Consider the following 21,370-nt stretch of genomic DNA (forward strand, 5'->3'; position numbering starts at 1 on the left):
TTTCCAGCACCTGCAAATCCAGAGCGGCGGGCACTGACGGGCACTTGCACCGTGTGGACAGACTCTCCGGTTCTGTGAGTGGTTTTTCTTTTCCCGGGTCGGACCTGGAGTTCTTAGGGGGATGGCTGACAAGGGCAGTAGGCAGAAGGACCTCAGCCCAAAGTCAAGGGGGTTTTGGATGGGGAGCTGGGCAGCCGCCCGTTGTAATTCCCTTCCCCCTGTCTCAGCTTCAAAGGCCAAGAGTTGTACTCCTGAAGAGATACTTAGAGATCATCTGGGTGTTCCTGAATCTCGAGAGGGTCGTTTGACCCTGGTGGGTCCTTTCCCTGCCCGGTGCCGTTCGCGCCCATAGAAGGAGACCAGGTTCGGTTAAGCAGAGCAGAAACTATTCACTGATCAAGGAATGGAGTAGGAGAGCTCCTGCTCAAAGTGCCTGGAGTGTAGTGTGAGGGTGCTTCTTAAGGTCTTTTAGGGCAGGTAGTTGGAAAGCAAGGATTTCTGGAAAGAGACGGGGCTTTCCAGAAACAGCTGAGTGTGGCAGTCTCCTATTTTCTGTTGCCACCCAACACTACATGTGCCTAGCAAGCTGCGTTTCTCCCCGAGGCACAGATTGAGGTATGGTAATCAGCAAGGATTCAGGTTAGGGTAGCGCTTCTAAGTTCGTTTCCCATCTTGTAGCACGGTGGTTACTGACATCCAGTCTCTGTTTCTGTAAGCAAGCACAGCTTCAAGCACAGGTTACCTTCATAGGTTCTGGGGCTTTAGGAAAGCATTGAGGTCATCCTGCGGTGACAGAGGCAGCTGTTCAAAGAACTTGGTGCGCCTTTGAGGCGGGGGTTGTGGAGTGAGGCAGGTAAAAATGCAGATTCCATAGCCACACCCCGACATACTGAATCAGAGTCTGTGAGGGTGGGATCTGGAATCCTTTTTAAAAAGCTTAGAGGAACCAATTCACACGAACAATAAAAGTTTCATCTGAGCCAAAGTCCTTAATCTAGAAATGAGGAAATGGGGATCCCTAAAAGGGTTACAGGGAGAGGGTTGGTGGAAAGTTAGACTATGACAGTTTTAGGGTGGTTCTTTCCTGGCCTTGGAAAGTTTTCTCAGCTGCTGCTCTGATCAGTACACAGCTGAATGCTTTAGGGGAACCCTCTTCATATATCCAGAGTTCCCTCTCTGTGCAGGTCTCCCACCATGTCTTTGGCCTGTGACCTCTTGTCACCTTAGTCTCTCAGCTTTGTCTCCTTAAATCTGGAATTCCTACTGGTTTTGTCTTGCTGCCCTTCCTTGCCACACTGGCCTGGAATTCCTCAAGGTAGTCTGCTAAAGTGGATTATAGGATACATTTCAATTGTCACTGTCCTTAATTGCATAATGTCCAGTTCCTTGCAAACCATTGTTTCATATGTTTTGCTCTTTTTTGTTTTGTTTTGTTTTCATACTAGGGGGAAATCCAGTCCCTGTTACTCCATTTTGGCCAGAAATTCAAGGTAATGACTTTTAATGTTTCTGACTGCTAGTTCTATCTTCTCTCTCACTTCTGGACCTGTCTCTATTCACTGATATTTCTAGTCATTATGGGTCATATTTATCCACTTTTTAAGTGCCTGCTGATTTTTTTATTAGATATCAAGCTTTGTTAATTTCACAACTTTGGGTGCCAGAAATTTTTACATTCCTATCAATATTCTTGAGCTTTGTTCTAGTATGTTCATATTTTACATGGAAACCATTTTATACTTTCGAAGCTTGCTTTTATTTATTAGGTGGGAGCAGAACTAGGGCTAATTTTGTCCTACTGCGGAAGAAATACCTTGCAGAGTAGTCTCCCTGATACTTCATGAATTATGAAGTTTTCTAGTCGGATTTTTGGGAATTGAAATTATACACAGTCCTGTATGAGCCTCAGAAATTGTTACATCTGCTTCTTTTGGGTACTTCTTTTCCTGTTCCTTTTCAACAGTTTCGTTCCACTCATGCATTGACCAAGCTGAAATCTCAAGGGATACCCACTGCAGATCTCTCATACTGTGTGCTCCTGTGGCTGTCTTCTCCCTAGTACTCTGTCATACAAGCTCCAGTCATCTTGGCCTCCCAAAACTCCTTGCTTGTCTTCTCAAATCAGGGAAACTACTAGACTCTGCCTGTTTCTCCTTCCTAAGATATGCCTTGGAAACTCCATACAGTAAGCTAAATAGCCATAGGGCTTACCTCATATGATTTTCTTCTCAGATATCAGAGATGAGGTCCCACACCACCTGATCTCCAGTGTTTGAAAGTGGTTATTTCATAGATCTTGTTTTTTTGGTTTTTTTAGACATTTCAGGTGGCAGAATAAATTCAATCCTTGTTTCTCCATCTTATCGAGTAGTAGAAGTTAGTTACATTCTCTTTGAACTCATCATGAATTCCATGAAGACTGAAGAAAACAAGTCATTTAGCGCTATGGAAGATGACCAGAGGACTAGACCTGAAGTTTCAAAGGTATATCTACTTTTTTACAACTCCTCAGAGGAGTGATAGTCTAACTATAGTGCCATATGAGGATCTTGGAGATAAGTTCTTAAACAATGGTCGTTATAAGCCCTTCTCTTAGGTAGTTTAAAATATATTTGGGGAGCTCATACACATAAGTGCTTGTGGAAAGCAAAATGATAGAGTTAACAATGCTAAACGTATGTTAAGACAACAAGATGACTAACAAACAATATAGACACTTAAAGTCTTGGAAAGTGTAGACAGGCAAAAATAATTAGCTAATGTTTTCTGAGGAAACACTGTGTGCCTAGAATTGTGTCCCATCATATGTATTATCTCATTTAACACTTAATAGAACTATGCAGTAGGTATTATTATCATACTTATTTTATAAAAGAAGAAACTGAAGCTCAACTTGCTTATAGTTGCAGAAGTAATGGACTTCAGAGCAAGGATTTAAACCTAGTCCATCAGACTGCAGAGACTGGTTTTTGACCCACACTATTTTGCTCAAAATATGCAAAATGATAATACAAAATTGAGACATAAACAAGTGATTTTAGAGTACAGAGAGAAGAATGCTTAATTCAGACTTAGGAAACTACAGCAGCGTCATATGAGAAATGATTTATTAATGAATAATAAATCTAAAATTGTCAAACTCATAGGTGTCGAAGTGGTTGTTGGGCTGGGAATAGAGAAAAATGGAGGTATTAGTCAAGGGGTACAAAGTTTCCTTATACAAGGTGAATAAGTTCTAGGGATCTGTACAGCATGGGTGCCTATAGTTAATAACACTGTTGTATACTCAAGTTCTTGCTAAAATGATAGATCTTATGTTAAGTGTTCTAATTACAAAAATAATAAGAGGGCAGGAAGAGACTTTGGGAGGTGATAGATAGGTTGATGGCATAGATTGTGGTGATAATGTATCTCCATACTCATCAAGTTGCATACATTAATTATGTACATTAATTATGCATTTTGTATGTCTAAAACTAAGTTATTTTTTAAAAAGAATGAATAACATTTCACTAGTGTATCAAGGATGAAGGAATGGCCTAAGTAAAGTCGTGTACACAGGAAAACATATTTGGGGAACAGGATAGCTGCATTTGATGCTTTATAAGGAGAATTCAAGAATATGGTAGGCAAATACTGTTTTCTATACTGGTAAGGTAGTATGGTGCCAAGATCACAGTAGGCTTTATATCAATAAGAGCTTTCCACATTTCCAGTAAAAATATTTTCTAATTGTGAAACAATAAAATGGATTCGCTGGTTCACATGAGTGGACATTCCAGAATTCAGCTGAGCTCTTAATTCAGTGGTATACAGTTTCTTTAAGGACTTGTTTGTGTGTTCAGTCTCTGTGTTCTGCTTTTCATGTTATCCCCTGGCTGGCTTTCTGCATAGTGACAAATAGAGCTGCAGTAATATCAGATGCTTTACTCTCCCTATAATGAGTCTATCCTGGTTTCCTGAGGAAACTTCTCTTTGCCATCTAATTGTCCCAACTTAAGTAGCTCACCCATTTCAACACAAAACCTTGTGACTGAGAGGGCACATATAGATATTCTTAAGCTGTCATGAATTCATTTCCATACGTGTATGGCTCCTAAAAAGTGGGAGAGAGGTAGAATAGCTTTCTGGAAAATAGCTGCAGTATCTTTTTTTTCTTTGAATTCCATGTGTAGGTTTTTGGATTTCCTTCTGTAAATAAAGGAGATGTGTTTACAGACTTTATCTTTGTATTGCTTAGGAGGAGTTATTCAATTCACTTAAGACTTTGTTAAGTTAAATATTAATGTTAAAATGATTAGGGCTATTTCGTTCAAGACAATTGCCACTAATCACATGTGATTATGTAAATTTAAATTTAAATTCAACTTAACTAAAATCAAATAATGAAAAAGGTCAATAGTACAAATTCTCAGTTATATCACGTGTCAAGTACTTAAGAACCACATGTGGCTGTGGAATTAGACAGTGCAGATGTAGAACATTTCCGTCACTGCAGACATTCTATTGGGCAGTACTAGTCTAGGGCATCCAATTATAGAACAGAACTAGAGTATAAAACTGCCAAACTGTTCGTCTAGAAAATAGAATGAGAGGGAAAAATCAAAGTAAAGGAGGCAACAAAGCAAGGGAATATAAATTCAGAAAAAGTGGCAAAAGTAGAAGATACAAAAAAAGATGATAGAAATGAACACAAAAACCCCCACACCCAATTAATTGTCTTACAGATTATTTGAAAGGCTTTAACTTTTATTGTTTCCTTTAAATTTATGTATTTCATATACAGTAAAATTCAGTCTTTTTGGTATACAGTTGAATGGCTTATAACAAATGCCTGCAGTAATGTAACCATGACCAAAATCCAGAAGCAAAGCAGTTCCATCACCCTAAATAATTTCTTGTGTGGTTCCATCACTCTATATAATTTCCTGTTCTCCCCACTTGTGCCCTATTCATCCCAGTCCCTGGCAACCACTAATCTGTTCATTACTCTAGTGTTAACTTTTCCAGAACATCATATAAATGGAACATACACTGAATCATACCCTTTGAGTCTGGCTTCTTTCACTTAGAACATTCCATTTAAGATTCATGAGTGTTGCATGCACTGATAGGTTTTTTCTTTTTATTGATGAGTAGCATTCCACTGTGTGAATGTATCAAAATCTGTTTATCCATTCACTCCCTTAAGAACATTTGAATTGTTTCCAGTTTGGGGACTTTGTATATAAAGCTGTTGTGAACATTTGCCTGCAGGTTTTTGTATGAAGATTAGTTTTCATTTCTCTTGGGTTCACCTAGCAGTGGAATTGCTGTCATGGAAAGTGTATGACATAACTTTAATTTTATAAGAAATTATCAAAATGTTTACAAAATGGCTGTATGATTTCTCATCCTCGTTACCAATGTGTGAGAGTTCCAGTTGTTTCATATTCTTGTCAACACAAAGTTTTTCTGATTTATTCATTCTCATAGGTATGTAATGGCATCGTTTTGTGGTATTAATTTGTATTTCACTATGACTCATGATTTGAGCATCTTTTCATGTGTTTATATCATCCACATATCTTTGGTGAAGTGTCTATTAAAATATTTTTCCCATTTTATACTTGTTAGTTATTGCTGAGTTTTGAGAGGGCTTTACATATTTTGGAAACAAGTCCTTTGTCATATTGCTTTTCTCATAATATTTGTGATAATTCCTGATATTTTATCTCTGTGTGGCTTGTCTTTTCATCCTTTTATTCCTGTTTCGGGAGGGAAAAGTTTTCAACTTTGATGAAGTCCACTTTCTCTATATTTCTCTTTGTGGATCATGCTTTTGCTTTTACATCAGAGAACTGTCCTAAATCTAAGATCACAAAACATTTCTAGTTTTCTTCCAGAGTTGTAGTTTTAGGTTTAGTCTGCAATTGATTTTAAGTTTTATTTATTTTTTGTATGGTGCAATATCTGGATCAAAGTTTGTGTGTTTGTGTAAATTGTGTGTTGTGTAAAAAAATTAACACAATTGTGGATGATTAGCATCTTAACCATGTTGAGTCTTCCAATCTTGAACAAGATATATTCTCCATTTATTTTGGTCTTGTTTAATTTCTTTTGCTGTGGGGTACCTGGGAGAATAGGCAAACCTGGTGGATGAAGGCAGAGCAGGGAGTGGGTGATTGAAGGGGCAATGTGACTGGTGCATTATTCTCTCCAAGGCCACCAGACAAGGTGAGAACTAGAAAGATCAGAAGTACAAGGCACAAGTGACAGAGGTTAGTCATCCTGACATCATGCAGCTTTAAGATTGTCCAGAGAACTGTGAGTGGCTGCTATTACCTCTGGGTCTCTGGAGTATGTCTTGCCCCTTTGACGAGAAACCCTTGCTTCCTCCACCCTACATAAACTCCTCAAAAGAGAAACCTCTAGCACTGGAATCTCCCTCCCCAGACAAAAGCTCTGCACAGATGGAGTCACGTCTCTATCAGCGTCCCCCAGACTTAGAGTCCCCTGGAAACTGGATGGTCAAGATCATAAGTTATTGGGACTTATGTATGCCAGATGCAACAGTCTGCCCGGCACATTAGACACATCTTATGGGAGTCTCACCACACCTAGAGGGAAGTGTTTTCCAATTTGACAGAAAACAGAGGGGAGGCATTTGTTCAGAATGCATTTGAAACCTGGCCCCTCGGCAAACTTTACTGACCAGCTTCTACTTTAGGGACTAGGCATGTGAAAGAAGGACAGAGTCCCAGCTCTTGTGAACCTTACATTTTAAAGAGTGAAAGAGATTATCCAGGAAACAGACAAATAGAAAGTTTTCGCTAGTGGATCAAGAACATACAAAGGTAACAGAAAGTGGCAAGTGTGTGCCTTGGAGTGCTGCTCCGGCTAGGGAAGTCAAGAGGCCTCTGAAGTGGCCCTGAAGACACCCAAGGGAAGGCCAGACAGAATGGTGAATGCACAAGCCCTGAGAATGGCTAAGGCTTCCTGTCCAGGGCCTGAGTGATCACTGTAGCTGGGACCAAGGGGAGAGGAGCTGAGCAGCAGAAGGTGGGGCAGAGGGAGGGGTGGACAGGGGCCAGAACACTCTAGCCCCATGGGCCTTGGAAAAGAGGGGATGGGAAGATGCTTGAAGGGATAGAAGAGTTGAGAGTGGAGGCTATTCCAAAAACATCCAGGCTAAAGAGGAGGGGGCCTGCAGTGGCCTGAGACTGGGAGCTGAAGGGGCAGAGAGGAGGGGATGGAGTGGATGAGAGGTGTGAAGGAAAAGAGAGATGGAGAATGTAGGGCTTAAACTGTGGAGGCCAGAGAGGGAGCAGAAATGACAAGTAGGTTTTGACCCTAAAACCCAAGCACCTTAGCACTGACAGGAACTTCGCCTTTTTCTTCCTTGTCTCTAATTGGCCAGGACAGTGGTGAGTACATAGTAGATATTCATTCAATCACTTTGATCATTTATTCAATGAACATTTCTTGCAAACCTACGTGCCTGGTACGTCACAGGTACCAAGGATATACCAGTGAATACAGTGGTATCCTTGTTCTCTTGGAGCTGACACTGTAGAGGGAGAAAGGAAAAATAAATTGTGTGTGTTTGTGTGTGTGCATGCACGTGTGTGTGTGTGTTTTGATATGGGCAGAAGGGAAAAGAGAATGGCGGAGGCTGTTTTGGAAGTGATGATAATTGGCTTCTCTGATAAGGTGATATCTGAGACCTGAAAGGAGTGAGGAGGTGAGTCCTAGATGGAAATATCTAGAGGAACAACATTGAAGATAGAGAAAACAGCAAGTACAAAGGTTCAGAGATGGGAGGGTGCTTGTTGACTGACCAATAGGTCTAGTGCTTGTTGACTCACTAATCAGTACCTGTGTCCCTTCCATTAGACTTGGAATTCTCTAAGGAACATGCCTGGGTTTTCCTCATCAGACAAGAGGGGTCAGAGAGGTGGGATGGGGGCCACTTTCTCTCTTTCTTTATGCTATTCTTCTTTCCCCAATCCTGGCCAGGCTTAGAAGTAGGGGCCAGGGAAAGACAAGGGTTGAGTCTGTTACAATCTGGAGAAAAGTTACAGAAAGTCAAGGAATAGGAAGGTTCTGTGCTGTTCCAGAACCCACTACTCATATCCATGCTGTTTCTGCTTTTAACACCTGCAGGTCCCACCCTGTCATCCAGTTCCCCATCTTTGCCACTGTTGTGGCATCCATCACACTAAAACACCCAGCTTCTTGTGTTACCAGCCACAAGTTTTTAGTCTCCCATGCAATAGAAATTGACACAAGGCCAAGTGAGTTTCCCAGACAAGGCTTTATTAGGGGCTTATTCTTGAATACAAGGGAGACAGCACTGGAGTGAGAGTTCTCCAGATGGCTCCCCAAGGAGAGGTCTTTTTGCTGTTTTAAACATGGTGACATGAAAAGCATGATGTATGCTAATATCATTGCATGTGTTGGGTGGAGTGTAGAGTGTGCAGGCCCAGTGAGATATCATGTTAGTACTTACATCACATGATCAAAAAATGGTGGATAAGCCCCTCCCTGGGTGGGGATTTTCACATTATAATGAGGCAAGCAATGAGGTAAAGTCCTGTGTGCATGCAAGCAATAAAGTTAACTCCCTTGAATGAGATTTATGGTAGAATGCTTCTTATCTTAGTTTCTTTAAGGTCTTACAGCCAGTGAGGATGGCACCAGTGGAGGTGCAAGTTCTGGTAGTCAGCGGGTGTGGAAAAATGCATTATTAGTGGTGGAGGCAGAGTCCCGTCCCTACTCTGTTTCACTTGGATATTTACCTCCCGGTGCATTATCTGCCTCTTTGGCTATCTTGACAGGGGTTGGGCATAATCTCACTTTGGGAATGCTGTGAATGTGGTCAATTCCTGCTCTGCCCCAAGGCCTCGAGACTGAGAAGGTACATAGAAGACTCCAGAATCTTAGAATCTCTACTCAGATTCCACCTAGACTCTTGCTTGTGTCCTGGGCCTTAGTCACTTCCTCCTTATTATTCCTCAGTCATTTCTGCTTCTCTAGGTAACTTGCTGACAGAACATGTTGCTCTAAATTCTGCTGATTCAAAACTCTTTTATTCTTACCAACAAAGAGTAACAGGCATCTCCAAATATGCCTGACCACACATGAACTCTTACAACGCATACAGTGAGTGCAGATTACCCAATCCAATAATTTATTCTAATTTTAATTCTAGACACTCCCCTCCTGGTAAGGTGAAATTCTGTGTCCCAAAGGCCCTTTCCACAGAGCATTCTAGGGCTCAGTGAAGGGACATTCAAAAGAGCCAGGTCCTCCTTTTCCATTTGAGCCCCTCTTCTGGAGCCCAGAGCTATAGAGGGAAGAGTGACTGGCTTCTAGGACTCTTAACTGAGGAGAAGGCAGTTGAGGGCCATCAAGGAAAGGCCTCAGAGTAGACAGGAGCTAAGGTAGCTAGGCCTGGTCAGCTGTCCTTTGCCTTAAGTCAGGGGTTCTCAAAGCCTGGACCCTAGGATGGCAGAATCAACACAAACTGCAGCCTCAACCCAGATATATTAAGTCAGATCCTCTGGGTTAGGGCTCAGCAATCTTTGTTTCAAGAAACCCCCAGGTGATTCTGATGCAGAATGGTGGCAAGAACTCAGACCCAGACTGGGACTGTCAGGCAGGTGGAGTCCTGGCTCTCCAGTAGACTCTGAACGTGAGAGGTCATGGGCAAAGCCCTTCTGGACCTGGGCATCCCTTTCTCCATTTGACAAGCCCCAGGATTTTTACCAGGTCTCTGAGGCAGTGATAGAATCAGGTGAACATCTCAATGGGAGATGCACACACAATTGTAACCTTACCCCTTTCTCACTTAGAGGGAAAACAAACTACGTGCAGTTGCTTTGAATGTCTTTGGGTAAAGTCACAGGGGAGCTGCCTGCCCTCTGAATGAGCCAGATATTTCATTTACCCTATTTAGTTAGAGATCTTGCTATACCTTAAGCAGAAAACCCACCATCACTACCACATACTTTCCCACAACCTTGGAAAGGAAGAGACATGTTTGAGTTGGAATTTGCTATCCCTAGACCCTCCTTCCACTTCCACTCTTTTTTGGCATGGGGACTTTTCTGTACTGCCTCCTTAGGAACTCAGGTCCCATCAAAATGTGGAAAGAACAATTACATTTGTTTCGCACATTTGCTTTTTTGATAGTTTCTGAGGAGAGTAGGAGGAGGGCAGGTTTTTCAAGGCTCCTTTAGGGATGCAAGTATGATTACCCCAAAAGGTTCCACCCCCTTCACACTTATCAAGGGTCCCCATAAGAGCCTGGCCTTTCACATATATTATCTCACTTACCAAGCACAGATCAGAGATGTTAAACAAGTAGCCCAAGGTCACACAGTGGGTGGTACATGTAGCAGAGCCTGGATGTGTGCTTCCTCCCTCTGGACCCTACCACCTCCCTCAGAGGTTTCACAGGGCAAGCTGGGACTGGCACTGAATCCTCAGGCCACTTAGTACCCTGTCATGGCCCTCAAGGAATCCGCACCCCAGGCAAAGCCTTCTTCTGAGGTTTGGGAGTGAGAGAGTGACTCCCCAATCTTCCTCCTGTTACCAGTGGAGGGTCTTGACTAAAAGTTGTCCTGGTTCCTGGCATTTTAAAGAAAAACTTAGTAAAAACATACAAACAAAGCAGCAAAAGAAAGAAGCAACGAAAGCATAGATTTATTGAAGTGAAAGTACACTCCACAGAGTGGGAGCAGGCTTGAGCAAGGGGCTCAAGAGCACTGGTTGCAGAATTTTCTGGGATTTAAATACCCTCTAGAGGTTTCTCATTGGTTAATTTGTTTACACCCTATGTAAATGAAGTAGTGGCCCACAACCAGTTTCACTGGTTGCAGGAGAGGACCAACTAGAGGTACTTTCCATGTTTCATCTGCAATGCAGTGGAAAGCGGGAGTTGGGGGCATAATTTGCAAAAAGGAGGAGCCTCTGATCCTTTTGTTACTTGACTGTGGAGAGGTGGAATTTTCCTTTTGATTCAGTTCCAGGAAGTGAGTGTGAATCATCCTTAGGTTCCCTGCCTCCAGGTCCTGTTCTTCTGCCTCACTCCTTCAGACCTGGGGCATCCCTCTTCTTGCCAGCCTGCTCCTCCCCTTGGTTCCAAGGGGGCTCCTGAAGGCTGCATTTGATCACTCAGCAGAACCTGAAGTGGGGAAGGCAGCCAGGTCTTGTTTAATTTCCTACAATATATTTTAGGACAAAAGTCTTGCATATCTTGTCAGAGTTTTCTTCATAGATTACCTGTCATCTGTGAATTAAGATAATTTTACTAATTTCTTTCTGATCCAGATGCCTTTTATTTCTTTCTGTTTTTTATTGCACTGGCTAAAACTTCCATCACAATGGTGAAGAGATTCTGCCAGAGCAAACATTCTTGTGTTTTTTCTAGTCTTGGGAATTCATTCAATCCTACACGATTAAGTATGATGTTACCTGTAAGTTTTTCATAACTGTTCTTCATAAGATTGAAGAAGTTTCCTTTTATTCCTAGGTTGCTGATATTATTAGAAATAGATGTCAGGCTTACCAAATACTTTCTCTATGTCTGTTGAGATGATTCTGTGTATATATAGAAATTTTAATTATTCTAATTGGCTTATTACAGTGATATATTTTTCAAAATTAAACCAACCTTGCATTCCTGGTATTTACCTATTAGTTCTTGCATTTATGTTTATATTGGTCTGTAGTTTTCTTTTATTGTAATGTTTTGCCTGTATATTACAGAGCTAATATATCCCTATTGCTGAGGCAATGTTCTTTTTAGTATTGTACTCAATGCCTCACGAATTATGATGTTTTCCCTATGTCTGGTGGGAACAGCAACTATTCCCAGCCCTGTAAGATCTCCAGGGATTGTTCCTTCTAATATTTTTGGGTAGCTGATTTCCCTGACTTAGGTGATTTCCTCACATGCATGTGCGGATCACTAGTCATCTGAAGACTTAATGGGGACCCTCTCTGTACAGTCCTCTCATGCCCTTTGAAAGCTAAACCCATTGGCTTCCCAGAACTTGGTTCCTTTTCCTCAACTCAGCTGCTACTGAGCGTTGCCTGGATTATTTTCCCTGCACCATGGCCTAGAACCTCTTTTCAGGCAGTAAGCTGGGGCAGTCATAGAGTTTGCATCATTGTTTTTCCGTTTCTCAGGTGTCACTGTCCTTCTTTGACTAATGCTCAATGTCTTGGAAACCATTTTGTATATTTTGTCCATTTCTCCAGGATTTTCAGGCAGGAGTGTAAATTAGTTCTATGTTATTCCATGGTGGCCAAAGTAGAAGCTCAGGATGCTGCTTTTTTTTATTTTTCCAAAGGCTTTAGTTTTAATTAGTGGAAATAATGGGCTATAATGGGCTTACTTTATCTTGGCTGCCCCTATTACTATCAAATACATAAATATAAACATACCAGAAGTTTTCTTAGCCAGATTAAGAGCATCTTCAAAAATCTCACAGGGAATATCATGTTAAATAATGAATCATTATAAGTATTTCCCTTATAATGAGGGAGAATAGAGGAGTGCTCACTATTACTGCCTTTATTTAGCTGGTAAATAAAATTTAATTTAGCCAATGCAGTGTGATAAGAAAAAATAGTAAAATATAATATTTGAGAATTGAAAAGAAGGGAACAAAGCATATTCATGAAATATCCACAGATGGTATCATATCTATTTTTGAAACAAAAAATATTTATAGATAAAATATTAGAATGATTGTAAAGTAGCATATTGGCTAGGGTTAAGGTTGATATTTACAAAACAATGGATTTAGCTTAGTCAGCAATATCAGAAAATGTAATCATCAAAAATTATTTTATAATGCCTAGAAAAATATTATTTACCTGGAAATAAATGTAAAAATTATTTGTTAACCATTTATGGAGAAAATTATTTTGCTGAAGGCATGAAAATGAGACATAAATCAATGTCAAGATATACTAATGAGTAGAAAAATTCAAAATTAAGACAATATTTCATGAATATACAGAAAAATATACCATTGGAATAGAACAGAGAGAGTAGAGACAGACTCACAAATTTCAAGATGTGACAATATCTTTGTATTAGTTTGTGCTATGGTGTGAATCTTTGCGTCCCCCACAATTCATATGTTTAAATCCTAATCTCCAAGGTGATGGCATTAAGAGATGGGGCTTTGATGGGTGATTAGATAATGAGGGCTCTACATAATGTATTTTCTTAGAAAAGTCCAGACTATGTAGTCTCTTAGGGGTAATAAAGTACCACTGACTGTTTGGCTTAAACAACAGAAATGCATTGTCTCATGATTCTGGAGGTTCAAAGTACAAGGTCAAGATGTCAGCAGAGTTTGTGACCTGTTAGGGCTGTGAGGGAAAGATCTGTTCCAGGACTCTCTCCTTAGCTTGTAGTTGGCCATGTTTTTCCTATGGCTGTTTACCTCATCTTCCCTCTGTGTATGTCTATGTCTGTATTTCCACCTTTTCTAAGGATATCAAGGGTATTGGATTAGAGGCCCATCCTACTGCAGTGTGACCTCATTTTTAACTAAGTATATCAACAAGAACTGCATATCCAAATAAGTATCACATTTTGAGGTACTAGGGATTAGGACTGTAATGTGAATTTTGAGGGGACACAGTTCAACCCATAACAATCTTATGTGGCAAAACTGACAGTACAGATCAGTGGAGAAAGAATGAACAATTCAGTCAGCATCGCTGGAGTAATTAGTTATCCACATGCAAAAAATAAAAAGTGATACCTACTTGAAGCTATGTACAAAAAATAATTCCAGATTAAAAACTTGAATGGTAAAAGCAACCTTTACAATTTTTTGAAAAAAAAAAAAAAAACAATTATCCTGTGAAAGGTGTTCTAATGGTATAAAAAGATTAATAAACTTGACAACATTAAAATTAACTCCTTTATGACACCTGAGAATGAAAAATCAAGAAGAAATTCAGAATAGATGTTTAACACATATGATGAATAAACAATTTGTGTCTACAATATTTAAAATACTCCTAGAATCAATAATAAAAAGAAAAATAATCCAGTATAAAAATGAACAAAAGACATAAACAAGCATTTTAGAGACTGAAGTGTGAAAAAGGGTTCAATTTCATTAGTAATTAGGAAACTACTGTTTAAACCCTCAGTAAGATGCTATTTCACACCCACAAGATTGGTAAACATTAAAATATGGATAACACCAAGCTTTGATAAAGACATAGAATAATGAGAACTCTCATTTCTCATTGGTGCAAGTGCAAGGTGGTACAACCATTATGTTAAATAATATGGCAATATCTATTATAATAAAGATGATTACTCATTTTCTTTTTCTCATTGCTCTCCTACTGCCTCATGTCTTCAAATATTTATTGATAAAATCTATTTCTGAAGTTGAGCAATTCCACTTCTAAGTCTATACTTGAGAGACACCCTTGTAGATGTGCACCACGAAACATATTTGAGGATATTCATAGCAAAATTAGCCACTGCTTTTATTAGAAAAACCCCAGAAATAACAGAAATATTCACAAACAGTTTGTTTCTTCAGTGAATTCTAACTGTAAAAATGGATACAGAATTTCATCAACTAGAATGAACCTCAGAAAAGTAGTGCAGGCCGGGCGCAGTGGCTCACACCTGTAATCCCAGCACTTTGGGAGGCCGAGGCAGGTGGATCATGAGGTCAGGAGTTGAAGACCAGCCTGGCCAAAATGGTGAAACCCCGTCTCTACTAAAAATACAAAAATTAGCTGGGCATGGTGGCATGCACCTGTAATCCCAGCTACTCAGGAGGCTGAGGCAGAGAATTGCTTAAACCTGGGAAGTGGAGGTTGCAGTGAACCGAGATTGTGCCACTGCACTCCAGCCTGGGCGACAGAGCGAGACTCCGTCTCAAAAAAAATAAATAAATAAAATAAAATAAATAAGTAGTGCAAATCACAGAAGAACATATTCAGCTGGATCTGTTTATATAAAATCAAAACCAGCAAAATGAAACAGTGTACTATTTATACTTTTACTACATATGTATATGTCCCTAAATAAGTGTAAGACAATGATAATTTTAAAACAAATTCAGACTTAGTGGTTGTCCATGAGAATGAGAAAGGAAGATAAGATGAAGGAGGGACACACTGTATGCCTCTAATGATTTGTAGTGTGCTATTTCTTAGGTTGGGAAGAGATACATGGATGTTTAGTATATGAAATATAGGGTGTCATAAAATGTTTTTGCATGCATAATATGTTTTACAGTTTTTTAAAAACACAGTATATGAGAGGTAAAGGAAGAAGCTGAGGACTATTCACAGGATACTAGCTTGAGTAGTCAAATGTGTAATGACACCATTATCAGATTCAAGAACACAGGAAGAGGGGCACAATTAAATTTTATGACTCTGGTTTTAAAGGGGCTAAGAGTGAAATGCCTCTGACATATCCAAGAGTAGATGTCAAAGAGGCAACAAAATATTAATATCTGGAGCTTAGATGAGAGGTCAGTGCTGCAGAGATAGATTTGGGCAATAAGTATATGAAAACATGAGGTGATAGGAGAGCCCCAAGACGAAAAGGAAATCACTATTCCTAAGACCTAAGCTCATTCCATTGCACCTACCTACTAAATGATCCAAGCCGAGCTGTACCTCCTGATTTTACTCTCTCCAGGCTTATTCCTCTATTTATATAGACTAGATCCAATACTTCAGACTTCACAATGATTTCCTTCCAAGTTATGTTGACTCTTGTCATATAATATTTTTTACTTATGTTTTTCATTTCTGTTGCCATCAGATTCTCAATATCTTGTATCCTGGGCTACTACCAACTGATTGTATATGAGTATTTATATTTATTTATATATCCCATCCTATTATTTATCTGCCATTTTAATATATTTTCTTAGTGCTGTCAAAACCATTGACAGAACAGAAACTAAACAGATTTTTAATGGGAATCCTTGAAAGGTGATCTTTCAAATATCTAAAAGATAAGTAAGTCCACCTTCACTAGTAAGTGAATAAATGTACATTCTAAAAACAGTCAAATTAGACAGAATTTTATCTATCAATTGGCAAATATTTAAAATAGTAACACTCAAATCCTTTTAAGGAATCAACCATAGGATTGAGGTTGGTCTCCTTGAGCAGCTGGAGAGAAGAGATGGGGTGAGTTGATACAATTCTCTGGAAGGCAGTTAGGCAGAATATATGTTGCAAAAGATGTTTACATCCTCAGTTGCGGTATTTCCACTCCTGGGAATATGACCTAGGGAAATATTCAGATGTGCACACAAAAATGTTATGTTTGTAGGAAGTTTTGTCATATTTAGAATAAGAATCTGGAAATAATCTAAATATTCAGCAATGAAAGGATGGATTACAAATTATTATACAGTGAAATATTCTGTAGCCCCTCAACTTGTGGTTTCAAAGTTTGCTTACTGCACAAAGTAGTGACACATTGCCTAGTGAAAAATAAAGTCACATGCATCATAGTATTTAAGAAACATAAGATTTAGATCTGCATATGAAATAATAGAGGGCTGTTTCTGATCCATTTCAAGTTAGGTAAAAGGTAGGAGTCCAACTCATTTCTTTGCATCTGGATATCCAGTTATTCTAGCCACATTTGTTACAAAGATGATATTTCCCCCATTAAATGGTCTTAAGACCCTTGTTGAAAATCAAAGTACTACTTTTAAGAATCAGAAAACAAAATCAAAGTATACAGAGAAAAAAAATTAAAAATTAAAATAAAGTGTAGAATGAGTATCTAAATTGATAGAATAGTGATTGATTTTTTCTCCATTATTCGTTAACCATTATATTATCTAATTTTTATTCATAATATCTATTAGTTCTATCATTAGAAAAATATAAAACATTATTAAAGGTGATTCTTGTTAACCTCTTTAATCTTTCCTTTTTAAGGATACTGTCATGAAGCAGACACATGCTGACACACCTGTTGATCATTGTCTATCTGGCATAAGAAAGTGTAGCAGCACCTTTAAGCTTAAAAGTGAAGTCAACAAGCATGAAACAGCCCTTGAAATGCAGAATCCAAATTTGAACAATAAAGAATGTTGTTTCACCTTTACGTTGAATGGAAACTCCAGAAAATTAGACCGTAGTGTGTTTACAGCATATGGTAAACCCAGCGAGAGTATCTACTCAGCCCTGAGTGCTAATGACTATTTCAGTGAAAGGATAAAGAATCAGTTTAATAAGAACATTATTGTTTATGAAGAAAAGACAATAGATGGACATATAAATTTAGGAATGCCTCTCAAGTGCCTGCCTAGTGATTCTCATTTTAAAATTACATTTGGTCAAAGAAAGAGTAGCAAAGAAGATGGACACATATTACGCCAATGTGAAAATCCAAACATGGAATGCATTCTTTTTCATGTTGTTGCTATAGGAAGGACAAGAAAGAAGATTGTTAAGATCAACGAACTTCATGAAAAAGGAAGTAAACTTTGTATTTATGCCTTGAAGGGTGAGACTATTGAAGGAGCCTTATGCAAGGATGGCCGTTTTCGGTCTGACATAGGTGAATTTGAATGGAAACTAAAGGAAGGTCATAAGAAAATTTATGGAAAACAGTCCATGGTGGATGAAGTATCTGGAAAAGTCTTAGAAATGGACATTTCAAAAAAAAAAGCATTACAACAGAAAGATATCCATAAAAAAATTAAACAGAATGAAAGTGCCACTGATGAAATTAATCACCAGAGTCTGATACAGTCTAAGAAAAAAGTCCACAAACCAAAGAAAGATGGAGAGACCAAAGATGTAGAACACAGCAGAGAGCAAATTCTCCCACCTCAGGATCTAAGCCATTATATTAAAGATAAAACTCGCCAGACAATTCCCAGGATTAGAAATTATTACTTTTGTAGTTTGCCCCGAAAATATAGGCAAATAAACTCACAAGTTAGACGGAGGCCGCATCTGGGTAGGCGGTATGCTATTAATCTGGATGTCCAAAAGGAGGCAATTAATCTCTTAAAGAATTATCAAACGTTGAATGAAGCCATAATGCATCAGTATCCGAATTTTAAAGAGGAGGCACAGTGGGTAAGAAAATATTTTCGGGAAGAACAAAAGAGAATGAATCTTTCACCAGCTAAGCAATTCAACATATATAAAAAGGACTTCGGAAAAATGACTGCAAATTCTGTTTCAGTTGCAACCTGCGAACAGCTTACATATTATAGCAAGTCAGTTGGGTTCATGCAATGGGACAATAATGGAAACACAGGTAATGCTACTTGCTTTGTCTTCAATGGTGGTTATATTTTCACCTGTCGACATGTTGTACATCTTATGGTGGGTAAAAACACACATCCAAGTTTGTGGCCAGATATAATTAGCAAATGTGCGAAGGTAACCTTCACTTATACAGAGTTCTGCCCTACTCCTGACAATTGGTTTTCCATTGAGCCATGGCTTAAAGTGTCCAATGAAAATCTAGATTATGCCATTTTAAAACTAAAAGAAAATGGAAATGCGTTTCCTCCAGGACTATGGCGACAGATTTCTCCTCAACCATCTACTGGTTTGATTTATTTAATTGGTCATCCTGAAGGCCAGATCAAGAAAATAGATGGTTGTACTGTGATTCCTCTAAACGAACGATTGAAAAAATATCCAAACGATTGTCAAGATGGGTTGGTAGATCTCTATGATACCACCAGTAATGTATACTGTATGTTTACCCAAAGAAGTTTCCTATCAGAGGTTTGGAACACACACACGCTTAGTTATGATACTTGTTTCTCTGATGGGTCCTCAGGCTCCCCAGTGTTTAATGCATCTGGCAAATTGGTTGCTTTGCATACCTTTGGGCTTTTTTATCAACGAGGATTTAATGTGCATGCCCTTATTGAATTTGGTTATTCTATGGATTCTATTCTTTGTGATATTAAAAAGACAAATGAGAGCTTGTATAAATCATTAAATGATGAGAAACTTGAGACCTACGATGAAGAGAAAGGTAAACAAGAGTCATCACTTCAAGATCATCAGATTGAACCCATGGAATGTTAGAAAAGAGATGCTGTCTTCAAGAAAATATGCCAATAATTCCTGGCAAAGATTTCATGACAAAGACACTTAAAGCAATTGCAACAAAAGTGAAAATTGGCAAATGAGACCTAATTAAATCTTCTGCACAGCAAAAGAAACTATCAACAGGGTAAACACACAACCTACGGAATGGGAGAAAATATTTGCAAACTATGCATACAGCAAAGATCTAATATTCAGAATCCATTAGGAACTTAAACAGATTAACAAGCAAAAAAAACAAGCAACCCCATTAAAAAGTGGGCAAAGGACATGAACAAACACTTTTCAAAAGAAGATATACACATGGCCAACAAGGATATGAAAAAATACCTGATATCACTAATCATTAGAGAAATGCAAATCAAAAAAATGCCATCACACTAATCAGAATGGCTGTTATTAAAATGCCAAAAAATTACAGATGCTGGCGAGGTTGCAGAGAAAGGGGAATGCTTATACACTGCTAGTGGGAAAATAAATTAGTTCAGCCATTGTGGAAAGCAGTTGGGTGATTTCTAAAAGAACTTAAAACAGCTACCATTCAAGCCAGCAATCTCATGACTGGGTATATGTCCAAAGGAATATAAATTGTTCTACCATAAAGACATGCACATATATGTTCACTGCAGCACTATTCACAATAGCAAAACATGAAATCAACCTAAATGCCCATCAATGGTAGACTGGATAAAGAAAATGTGACACATATACACCATAGCATACTACACAGCCATAAAAAAGTACAAGATCATGTGCTTTGCAGCAACATGGATGGAACTGAAGGTCATTATCCTAAGCGAACTAATGCAGGAACAGAAAGCCAAGTACCACATGTTCTCTCATAAGTGGAAGCTAAATATTGAGTACACATGGACACAAAGAAGAAAACAACAGATATGGGGCCTACTTGAGGGTGGAGGGTGGGAGGAGGGTGAAGACTGAAAAACTGCCTATGGGGTACTATGCTTATTACCTGGGTGATGAAATAATCTGAACACAAAACCCTGGTGACATGCAGTTTACCTATATAACAAAACTGCACATGGACTCTTAAACCTAAATAAAAGTTTAAAATATATATAATGCCAATAATTTAGAGTATTGGAGGCTGTTTCCTTTAATAAAATTTCCTACTTAGAAAACTTTTAGAGAATTATGTGGATGTGCAAAACATGTATTAGAGCTCAAATACTGATTTTGTTTATCTTGGCTTTTTCAAGCCTCACTTAAAGTGCTTAGCTCACTTTTACACTTAAAAATAATTTGTTATTTGTTTTTCTAAATGCCTAGGGTGGTACACCTTCATTACTGGCAAGGTGGTTTTTGTTCTCTGCCTAACTAGATAGTGGTAAATACACTTAAATATGGAAAAAATATGTATAGTTCCTCTACAACCCAAAATTATTTGGTAAACATAATTTATTTCCTTCCATGCCACCTGTGACATCAACCTCCATTGCAAATGGCCATAGAAAATTCCAATTTTTCAGTTCTTTCTTCTAATTCAGCAATAGCTAACTCTTTGGCAGATGAGAAGAGTAGCTTGCTCAGTCTCCATCCCCATCCTCTTATGTTCAGAGTCTAGAAAGCTAGAAGCTACATATTTCAGACTAATTTGCAAGTAAGATTCTGAATACAAATGAGATTCCTCCAAATAGATACTATTTGTAAGACAAAAGTAAAGTGGGGGTCCTCTTTCTTCCGCTCCATCTTTTGGGAAGCTGGGTCATCAAAAAGTGAGTGTCTAGAGATAGTAGTGCTGCTGACTATATTCGGTGTCAGTGTCTAGTCATCAGCTTCTTGGGTATCTACAAGTGGTTTCAGCAGTAGCAACAACCAGAAACTGTTGCAGTGTCTATTCATTCACTTTGATGGAGTGCAGAGGTATTTCTGATGGTAATAGTTCCTAATTGAGTTTTCTGATTTCTGGATTGCAGGTAAGAGAGTGTGTTCATAAACCTAATAATTCCAGTATTGGCCTCCTGATCCTCACTGCTGTTATCCTAAAGATTTCCAGCACTTGGTCCTTGTATTAAATCTCTTTAACCTGCACTGAATCCTGACTGGTGTACCCTCCTTGATAACTTGCAATTGGTTGGACTTTCCAAATATGTGATAGTCTCAGTTGTGCAAAACCTGTAAATCTGACCTACATAAATTGTTCATTCAGAAATGCTAATCTTTATTCAAAAGCATACTGAATTTCAAAAAAAAACCAAAACCAGCAACAGGAACTTAAGAGAGAAGTTTATTTCTCACATAATAGTCC

The 21,370-nt window shown here is 38.8% G+C and overlaps 1 protein-coding gene across 3 annotated transcripts, besides 1 other annotated feature; it reads left to right on the plus strand.

The window, feature by feature from the left end:
• FAM111B (FAM111 trypsin like peptidase B) lies at window positions 15–20,190 on the plus strand. Of its 3 annotated transcripts, NM_198947.4 has the most exons (4): window positions 15–74; window positions 1,446–1,490; window positions 2,318–2,484; window positions 16,957–20,190. In NM_198947.4, exons 3-4 carry the CDS (start codon window positions 2,404–2,406, stop codon window positions 19,078–19,080), a joined length of 2,205 nt encoding a protein of 734 aa, NP_945185.1. In that variant the 5' UTR covers window positions 15–74; window positions 1,446–1,490; window positions 2,318–2,403; the 3' UTR covers window positions 19,081–20,190. The 3 variants fall into 3 exon arrangements, with proteins under 3 accessions (NP_945185.1, NP_001136175.1, NP_001136176.1); NM_001142703.2 differs by lacking the exon at window positions 2,318–2,484; NM_001142704.2 differs by lacking the exons at window positions 1,446–1,490; window positions 2,318–2,484.
• Window positions 1,134–1,183: an enhancer, noted in NCBI's record as "active region_4745". NCBI's record gives its function as "activates an Ori minimal core promoter by ATAC-STARR-seq in GM12878 lymphoblastoid cells {active_cell/tissue: GM12878}" and the evidence as "EXISTENCE:reporter gene assay evidence [ECO:0000049][PMID:35858748]".

Source organism: Homo sapiens, chromosome 11, assembly GCF_000001405.40.
Source record: "Homo sapiens chromosome 11, GRCh38.p14 Primary Assembly".
Taxonomy (NCBI): domain Eukaryota; kingdom Metazoa; phylum Chordata; class Mammalia; order Primates; family Hominidae; genus Homo; species Homo sapiens.